We start from the raw sequence: 9,736 nt of genomic DNA, 5'->3' as shown, positions 1-9,736 counted from the left end.
CACAGGCATGCATCCTGCTCATTTCTTTCCTTTTTCTTCTTCTTCTTTTTTTTTTAATTGTCACGCCTATTACCCCATTCTGAACCCCTGCTTGTTTCTTTTTTTTTTTTTAAGGCAGAGTCTCCTTCTGTCACCCAGGCTGGAGCGCAGTGGTGCAATCTCAGCTCACTGCAACCTCCGCCTCCCGGGTTCAAATGAGTCTCAGCCTCCCGAGTGGCTGGGACTGTAGGTGTGCACCACCACGTTTGGCTAATTTTTTGTATTTTTTGGTAGAGACCGGGTTTCACCATATTGTTCAGGCTGGTCTGGAACTCCTGACCTCAGATGATCCACCCTCCTCAGCCTCCCAAAGTGCTGGGATTACAGGTGTGAGCCACCGCACCCAGCCTAACCCCTACTCATTTCTAATGGCTTCTGAAGTCCTGCAATTTTCTTTTTCTTTCTTTTTTTTTGAGATAGGGTCTCACTCTGTCGCCCAGTCTGGAGTGCAGTGGTGCAGTCTCAGCTCACTGCAGCCTTGACCTCCCAGGTTCAAGCCATCCTCCCATGCTCAGCCAAGCCACCCAAGTAGCTGGAACTACAGGTGCCTGCCTCATGCCTGGAGCGCCTAATTTTTGTATTTTTAGTAGAGATGGGAGTCTCACTATGTTGCCCAGGCAGGTCTTGAACTCCTGGACTCAAGTGATCCTCCCACCTCAGCTTCCCAAAGTGCTGGGATTCCAGGCGTGAGCCACCACACCTGGCCAATTTTCTCGCTATTAGAAACCCTCGAGGACAGGGGATGGGAGGGGCCGTTTCAGATGCTGGTCCGATTTCAAAGGAGTTTGGAAGGTGAGTTTGCTAAAGATGGGACAGAAGGAAACTGACTCTTCAAGGACTCACTCCTTCAGGAGATTGAGGACCTGCTGAGCACCCAGTGCCATGGTGCCTGCTGGGTCACCCACAGCCGTGGTCCCTGCCCCTGCGGGTTCACAGCCCAGTTGGCTGTCAGGCAACCTTAGTATGAGAAGAAGAGAGCAGGGGAGTCCCATGTGGGGATCCTGCTAGACTTCCTGGAGGAAGCACCGATGCTTGAGGGCCCCTTGCAGGGGCCCGCTGCCCCCACCAGTGTCTGCGTTTGGGGGGGCCACCAGGGGATACTGAGGCACACCCATCCCCGGCAGATAGGACTCCCTGCCCAGGGCTTCCACCCAACCTCCCTCGGGCAGGCTGGCATCGGGGTCTCCAGCCCCTCATGAAATCCTACGTTGAGTCCCATTTGGTGTCTGCCTCTTTGGGGACCTGAGCCCACAGTTTTAAGGGCCTTGAAGGAGTCAATGGGAGGAAAAGGGGAGGAGCATCTGCACAGGAGCGAGGCCCCAGCGGGTAGCATGTGTGTCGGGACGGCTGCGGGGACTCGGCCACCACCAGAGGAAGGGGATCTGTCGGGACGGCTTCGGGGACTCAGGATGACTGCCAGAGGAAGGGGACCTGTCGGGGGGCGGCTCAGGATCACCGCCAGAGGAAGGGGACCTGTCGGGGGGCAGCTTGCCGAGGGCTCAGCCTTGAACCGGGGGCCAGGGTGTGACATCAACAGGTTAATATCTTAGAGCGGGTGCCCGGGCAGAAGCCTCGCCATTCGGTATTAGCCCATAATTACTCACACTTGTCTAAAAGTCAGATGTTTTCGCTGGGTGTGGCGGCTCATGCTGGGAATCCCATCTACTCGGGAGCCTGAGACGGGGAGGATGGCCTGAGCCTGGGAGTTTGAGCCCAGCTTGGGCAACAGAGCAAGACCCCATCTAAATACATACATGCCTGTCTAAATACATGCATGCCTGTGTAAATACATGCCTGTGTAAATACATGCCTGTCTAAATACATGCCTGTCTAAATACATACATGCCTGTCTAAATACATGCCTGTCTAAACACATACATGCCTGTCTACACACATACATGCCTGTCTACATACATACATGACTGTCTACATACATACATGCCTGTCTACATACATACATGCCTGTCTAAATACATACATGCCTGTCTAAATACATGCCTGTCTCCACCTATAAAAACCGGACAGTTTTGTGGAAGAGCCACAGCTTCTCTCATGTAACCAGCGGGGACACGGCGTGGACGGGGCTCCAGTGTGAGTCCGGATGCGGGTCTGCGGCTTGTGCTTCCTGACCTGTCCCTTAGCGATAACAGTAGACCTGCTCACTGGCCGTGGGATCACCCTTCCCACCAGGGCTGCCCATTCAATCCTCACCCCGTGAGTGGCTCCCCGCATTTTCCTTACACGGAAGCAGGCCGCACCCCAGAGAGTGGGGAAGCTGGAATCACCATGCAGGGTGCCCTGGAGCCCCCATCCCCCAGTCAGGGGCCCCCGTGGTTCTCCTTCATGGCTTCCTTTTTTTTGAGACGGAGTCTCACTCTGTCGCCCAGGCTGGAGTGCCGTGACGGGATCTCAGCTCACTACAACCTCTGCCTCCTGGGTTCAAGTGATTCTTCTGCCTCAGCCTCCTGAGTAGCTGGGATTACAGGCGCACACCACCATGCCTGGCTAATTTTCCTATTTTTAGTAGAGATGCGGTTTCACCATGTTGTTCAGGTTGGTCTCGAACTCCTGACCTCAGGTGATCCGCCTGTCTCAGCCCCCCAAAGTGCTGAGATTACATACTTGAGCCACTGTGCCCGGCCACGGCTTCCTTTTCTTTCACGCCGCAACTGCACCAGGGCAATGGTTCTTGCCAAGGCCAAGGTTGGCTTTGCCTCCACGCCTGCTGGTCTGGTGCGGCACTGTTTTGGTGCGGGACTGTTTTCAGGAGAGCATTGGCTCCTGAGAGCCAGGCCTGGGAGGCCTGTCCTGTCTAATTGGGCCCTCATGACTGCCCTTCAAAGGTAAGTCATGAAGGCCGGACACAGTGGCTCACACCTGTAATCCCAGCACTTTGGGAGGCTGAGGCAGGCAGATCACCTGAGGCCAGGAGTTCGAGACCAGCCTGGCCAACATGGCGAAACCCCGTCTCTACTAAAAGTACAAAAAGCCAGGCTTGGAGGCATGTGCCTGTAATCTCAGCACTTTGGAAGTCTGCGGCAAGCAGATTGCTTGAGCCCAGGAGTTCGAGACCAGCCTCGGCAACATGGGGAAACCCCATCTCTATATCTAAAAAAGCGTATAAAGAAAAAAATTAATTTCGTAAAAAAAATAAAGGTAGGTTGTGGAGAAGCTAAGGCTCAGGAGGGGCGGGCAGGTTGCCTGGAGGCTCCTGGGATGTCCACACAGCTCTGCCACATGTCATGTGCAGGGTCCCACGGCCACCCGCCTTGAAGGCGATGCCGAAACGGGCATATAATTGAGACTGGCCCCCCAGTGCCCTCCCGAGGTCCTCCTTCACAGCCGCCTGGCAGCCGGTAACAACACAGACCAAGGCTAAGCACCTCCGCCATCCAGCTAGCTCCTGTGCTGTAAATCAGATGGCGGCAGCTGTGGAAGGGCCCCGGCCCTCTGCTTTCTGGGCCCGCTCCCAGCCTCATCACTCCTGAGCAGCCCCTGCTCCAGCGAGGAGCTCTGTGGAGCCAGCTGTGGTTGCAGGCAGGGCCATCTGCTTTGGGGATTGCTGCTCCTTTAGGAGGATGAGCTGCCTGTGGTTTTTACCCAGAGATCCAGCTGGAATCGCAGCTCCCAGACACTCACGGCTCACTGTGAGTGATGAACACGGGGCCCATGGCAGCCGCTGCGGCCGAGACAGTGGACAGTGTTCACTCTTTAAGGCGATGCCCTTGCGCCCACACAGTGCGACGTCCAGCACTGTTTTCTGCTCAGCTGCGAGGGAATCTCCCCAAGCCTCCCCACCACCCCCTTTTCCTAAGTGGACCTGGGGGCCTTGGAGGTCAAGAAGAGCCAGTGGGGGCCCTGTTCTTGGCTGTCATTTCAAGCGGCTTCTCCAGGGGGTTGACAGAGCCCTGGGCCCACGTGGACGGATGATGACAAATGACCTGCGGAGGGAGACGGTGGCACGTGGGGACCAGCGGAGTGAGCTGGCCTCGGCTATCTTGTTGAGTGCCTGGGAATGGAATTGGAACAGGAGGCCCGGTAAGTGACTGGAAGACTGGAATGAGGGCCTGACCGATGGGAATGAACCAGAGACAGCGGAATGATGTGCAGATGACTGAGGGAGGCACCCTGCCACGCTGGTTTTATAGTTTGGCATCGCAGCGAGAAAAACAACAAACCCCGTCTTGTGTGTGGTGAGGGGTGGCTCCGGCAGAGAGTGAGGATGCGTGAATTCCAAAACAACTGTGAGAAGACCAAAGGCGCCAGAGCTCTGGGGATTCAGATTCGCTTTCAGAAATAATGCCGGGTGCGAGGCTCACGCCTGTAATCCCAACGCTTTGGGAGGCCGAGGCGGGAGGATGGTCTGAGCCAGGGAGGCAGAGGTTGCAGTGAACCCAGATCATGCCACTGTACTCCAGGCTGGGTGACACAGCGAGACCCTGTCTCCAAAAAAAAAAAAAAAAAGAAGAAGCAAGAAAGAAGCACACATCTGGGGATGTTTTGATGAAGACTCTGCTCTCGTGGGCCCCAGAACACCCCGAAATAGGCTGCACGAAGCCGTGAGCCCCGGCACCTGAAGGCGCGAAGCTGGGCTGGGAGTTGCTCACTGGCAAGGTGGGTGTCAGCCTGAGGAGGGCAGAGGTCAGCTGCCCCTAGCTGGGCATGATTTAGGACACAGGACGGGAGGGGGCACTGGGTCTGGAAGGAAAGGCAGGGGAGGGAGGGAGGGGTCTCCAAGGAAAGGGAAGCCAGCAGTGCTGTTCCTAAGCAGGATTCCATGGAACTCGCAGACAGGACTTGGGACACGCACCTGCCCTGCCCGTCTGACCTCACCCCGCCCACCCAGGAGGGGAAGCGCCGTGGAGGCCACTTCACAGGAGGGAAGATCAGGGTCCAGGGCCATGCTTGACGCCCCCCACCCAAGGTTTAGCCCAGGAAGGGGGAACAAACCGCAGCTCCAACCCTGCCCCCCACCCATTAGCCAGGGGCCTGCAGCTCCTGACTCAGCTTCCCCCATCAAACAGGGGCTCGTCCTGCCCCACCCGGGTGGGAGACCCAACCTTCCAGGCCCACAGGAGCTCGTGCGTGCGTCTCACGTTCCAGTCACCCGGGTAGCAGGCGTGCGTGGGCAGGGGCAGAGCTTGGTGGCGATCCGTGTCCCGACACCCTCAGGCTCCCGAATGGGACTTTTCAGGGGTGAGGGGGCCAAAGAAGGGGAGGCAGGGGCTGCGTCACTCGTGAAGGGGCATCGGGACCCCAGCCCACTTGTGGTCCCACGTCTGAAATCCACCGGACAGGGAGATTGGTCCAGGCTCACACCCGCTGGGATGGCAGGAGGCAGGGGTGGCACGTGGACAGATGTGGGTCCCAAAATCCGGGCAGGGGGGAAGGTGGAGGGTGTGGTCCGTGCCAGCTGTACCCAGGCAGGTAGGGCTGGCTGGGTGGGGAGGGGGTGGGGCTGGGAGGAGTTCCTGGGTCTGGGGAGAGGCCACTGCTCAGGAGCAATCATCTCTCAGGGACCCAGGCTGCCCGCCGCTGTGAGGAGGCGGCAGCAGAGGCCAGGAGGCCGGGGGCCGAGCTTCAGGCCCACCCCGCCTTGGCCCCCCCCTCAGGCCCAGAGACCTGCAGCCAACCTGCCTGACAGGCTGAGCGCCACCAGGGAGGTGAGCTGCGTGGGTGTGGGAGTGCGAGAGTGTGTGTGTGGGGGAAGGGGGTGCATACCAGAGGGGTATGGTGTCCAGGCTGAGCCCCTGCACTTCAATGGGGTGGGGGGCTCCTCGAAAAAAAAAACATACCTTGAAATTCGGAGAATCACAGTCCGCCAACCCCTAAGCCTCACCGCCACCTCAGAGGCTGGGCCCCAGGACGGCACCTGGACACCAAACAGGGTCTCCAGCCAGCCTGGCAAGTCCAGGCCAGACGAGCACCCCCCATCCTGGCTCCAGATGAAAGGGTGCCCCCGACCCGTACACGCCCAGGGCTGGCAGCTCCCTCAGGTGAAGGCAAGTATAGGCAGGCCCTGGGTGACTTTCTGGGGATGGGGGCAACAGAGGGACCAGGGACAGGAGCAGGGAGGTGGGGGCTTGGCCCCGGAGGACAGGACGGGAGACCTATGGGAGGAAGAGAGCAGATCCTTGGGACGGCCCCACCCTGGGATCTGGGGCTGATGGGCTCAGGCAGAACAGAATTGCTCGAGAGTCAGAAGCTGAGGCAAGCGCCCCCCTATGACCTGCCAGGTCGCCAGGTCAGCTGAGACAGTGGAGCTGAGTCCCAGGGCCTGGCCAGGCTGGCTCTCCCATGCAGCAGCCTACGTCCCTAGAAGGGCAGATGACAGGGAGGCCAACCTGAGGCCCTGGCCCGGCCTCCCTGACCTGCCGCATAGCTCTTGCCGGTGGAGACAGGCCCAGGCTGGCATAGGCTCTGCCTGAGGTCACAGACACCTCACACAGCCAGAGCCAGGCCCCAGCTTGTGGCATGTGGTCCAGGGCCTGCTCCTCCTGGCTGTGGGGGCTGCTCCCCGGCCCCAGTGAGGAGGGGGCATGTGGGTCACCAGGAGGCCATGCTGCCTGCCCGCCCCACGCGGCTCTCAGGAGGCCGTGCCCGTGGACAGGAGCCGGGGGAATCCCAGAAGCAGAGCCGGGAGGATGTGGAGCCCCATCCCTGTCACCCCCTGCTCACACCCGGGGCTGCTGCCTTGGTGAACTGCTGGCCAGGGCCCCCAGGGGAGGGCCGCGGGACCTGGGAAGCCGGGTGTCTGAGATGGGTGCCCACCGGTCACCTCATCCCCCTAGTGTGCAGCTCAGCCTGGGACATCAAATGAGCCAGCCCTGAGGAGGCGGCTCCTGGGCGCCCCGAGTTCCACCCAGCAGTGAAGGAGGCAGGCAGGGGGGTACACCATGCCTGTCCGCATCTGCAGAGAGACGGGCAGGCAGGGGGTCGGGGTGGGCACTAGCAGGGCAGCCGGCCTGGAACCAGGCAACAGCTCATGGGCCCTCAGCCGGGTTTCTCATGAGAGCAGGAGGAGGTGGCTGTGCCAGGGCCAGGGTGTGGGACTGGCTGGGCGGCTTCTCAGCCTCCCCACAGCTCTGGGCACCTGGACGCAGTGAACAATGGTCAGAGGGCCCCGTCGCCTGGATCTGGGCAGACAGGTCTGTCCTGCAATGGGCTTGGTCAGTGTCCCGCCCCCGCCAGAAAAATCAGGCCCAGCCGGCCCTGCCGCCTCCTGTGACCGGGCGCAGAGGCTGTGACACCAGCACCGGGTGAGGCCTCGATCAGCCGGCGAGCCCTGTGAGCAGGTGGCAGAGCGGTCAACCTCCCGACTGCCCCTCCCTGGGGACCAGGCCCTGCTCCTGACATCCCCAGACCAGTACACTTGGTCCACGGTTCCCGAGCTGGCGCATCTGGCTCAGCCGGGACAGCTGTGGGCTGAGGAGATCAGCAGGCCTCCCTGTCCAGTGCCCAGCTGGCCCTGTGAGAAAACCCCACCTTTTTCCACAGAGGATCTGCCTCTGGCGGAAGACAGAGCTTTGGAGGTCCCTCAGTCTGTGTCCGGGGCCCAAGCCCTGAGCCTGCCCGAAGCCAGAGCCCTCCCAGAAGCCTGGCTCTGCTGGCTCCAGCCAAAACGGTCCTGCTGACATCTAGCCACAGTGCCTCCTGCTGTCTGCACAGCCATTCCCACCGTCAGCCCAGGGAGGGGCCCGAGGCTTCATCCTGTGCTGGGGGCTGGACGCAAATCAAGCAGGGGCTGGGGCCTCAGTTTCCCTGCCTGTAGCATGAGCGAGTTGGATGAGGGGATTCCCGGTCCCTTCCAGCTCTGCGCATGCCCAGGCACCAAAGTCTTCACCCTTCAAACGGGCCCCCAGCCATCGTCACTTCATAGTTGTCCGTGACGGTGATCCCGACACAGCCAGAGGGCGACATCCACACGCGCTGAGCCGACTGCCTGGGGCTCTGCAGGCCGGGTGGGAGGCCGGCAGGAGTACCTGTGGCTGCAGTGGGAATGCAGCTGGATGGAAGTTGGGGACCGCCTTCCAGCACCCCTGCCTGGCCAAAGGGAGACCTTAGCCCACAGGGTCACCGCCTCAGCAGGACAGCCCCCACCCCGCAAGCCCTGTGCCCCGAGCATGGACAGGGCACAGCTCTAGGCTCTGGCAGCTCCTGCAGAGGGAGGACCAGCAGCAAACACAGACAGGTGGACAGGGAGTCACACACACAGTGAGGAGGGTGATGGGACAGCGGGGATGGTCTCTCCAGAGGTGACGCCTGAGGCTGCAGGACAGAGTCACCCGGGAGCAGGGTCGGTTGGTCCAGAAGGTCCCTGCCTGGGGAGCAGGCAGGCTCCAGGAGGGCCCAGCCAGGGTGTGCATGCTGTGGCTCTGGGCCCGGGCCCGGGTGGGCGCTGATGGGGAGGTTAGGCAAGGCGGGCCTGAGAGCTGGGCACGACTTCCTGAGCTTGTTCCCCACCTGGGAGCCTCCCTGGAGGGACAGTGTCAGTGGAGGAGTTGGGAAAAGCAGGCAGGGTGTCCCAGGGAAGGATGGGCCTCAGCCCGGGCCCCTCACGGACCCCTCAAGGATGCTGGACGCGTTGATGCGCCTCTCGTTCCCATCTCTAAAAGGGGAACAGGCCGGACGTGGTGGCTCAAACCTGTAATCCCAGCACTTTGGGAGGCTGAGGCGGGCAGATCACCTGAGGTCAGGAGTTCAAGCCCAGCCTGGCCAACGTGGTGAAACCCCGTCTTTACTAAAAATACAAAAATTAGCTAGGTGTGGTGGTGGGCGCCTGTAATCCCAGCTACTCGGGAGGCTGAGGCAGGAGAATCACTTGAACCCAGGAGGCGGAGGTTGCAGTGAGCCGAGATCGCGCCATTGTACTCCAGCCTGGCGACAGAGCGAGGCTCCGTCTCAAAAAATAAATTAATTAAAAATAAAAGGGGAACAGTGGCTCCAGTCATTCCAGCCTCAACCCCTTGAGCCCTGTTGCTCAGGGCTGTGGGAGGGTAGGAGATATGAAGGACAAGGAGTGTGTGGATCCGTTGCGGGCATGGAGCGGGACTTGGTAATGGTGGCCCCAGCGGCATGAGCCCAAGCGTAACCAGAACAGGACAAGAGGTGGGCTGAGGGCCCACATCCCTCTCCCAGGAGCCGGGGTGAGTGAGTTTTTTCTCCACAGGGGCCTCTGCATGGGGGTGACAGGGACCCTCAGGGCCCCGCAACCCCTTGCCAGACCCCAAAGGGTCCAGGGACTGGGCTGTCACTCCCCCTCTCCTGCCTTGATCCACAAAAACCAGAAATATTTCCTTTTTTTTTTTTTTTTTTTTTTGGACACAGAGTCTCCCTCTGTCCCCAGGCTGGAGTGCAGTGGTGTGATCTCAGCTTACTGCAACCTCCGCCTTCTGAGTTCAAGCGATTCTCCTGTCTCAGCCTCTTGAGTATCTGGAATTACAGGTGCACGCTGCCACACCTAGCTAATTTTTGCGTATTTCGTAGAGACGGCGTTTCACCATGTTGGCCAGGCTGGTCTCGAACTCCTGACCTCAAGTGATCCACCCACCTTGGCCTCCCAAAGTGTGGGGATGACAGGCGTGAGCCACCACGCCCGGCCCAGAAAACAAATGTTTTCAACTCATCTCTTGGGGCGTGGATTTTTTTTTTAATTCAGATGAAATTCACATAACATCAATTTACCCAGGTTTAAGTG

General features: G+C 59.8%; 2 annotated features.

The window, feature by feature from the left end:
- Window positions 5,515-6,015: an enhancer, noted in NCBI's record as "H3K4me1 hESC enhancer chr7:1599985-1600485 (GRCh37/hg19 assembly coordinates)". NCBI's record gives its function as "activates a minimal SCP1, AML or CMV promoter by ChIP-STARR-seq in primed H9 embryonic stem cells {active_cell/tissue: H9 hESC(primed)}" and the evidence as "EXISTENCE:reporter gene assay evidence [ECO:0000049][PMID:30033119]".
- Window positions 6,016-6,516: an enhancer, noted in NCBI's record as "H3K4me1 hESC enhancer chr7:1599484-1599984 (GRCh37/hg19 assembly coordinates)". NCBI's record gives its function as "activates a minimal SCP1, AML or CMV promoter by ChIP-STARR-seq in primed H9 embryonic stem cells {active_cell/tissue: H9 hESC(primed)}" and the evidence as "EXISTENCE:reporter gene assay evidence [ECO:0000049][PMID:30033119]".

Source organism: Homo sapiens, chromosome 7 (assembly GCF_000001405.40).
Source record: "Homo sapiens chromosome 7, GRCh38.p14 Primary Assembly".
NCBI lineage: Eukaryota > Metazoa > Chordata > Mammalia > Primates > Hominidae > Homo > Homo sapiens.
Note: the sequence above shows the minus strand (reverse complement) of the source record. Positions and strands in the feature narration are given on the sequence as shown.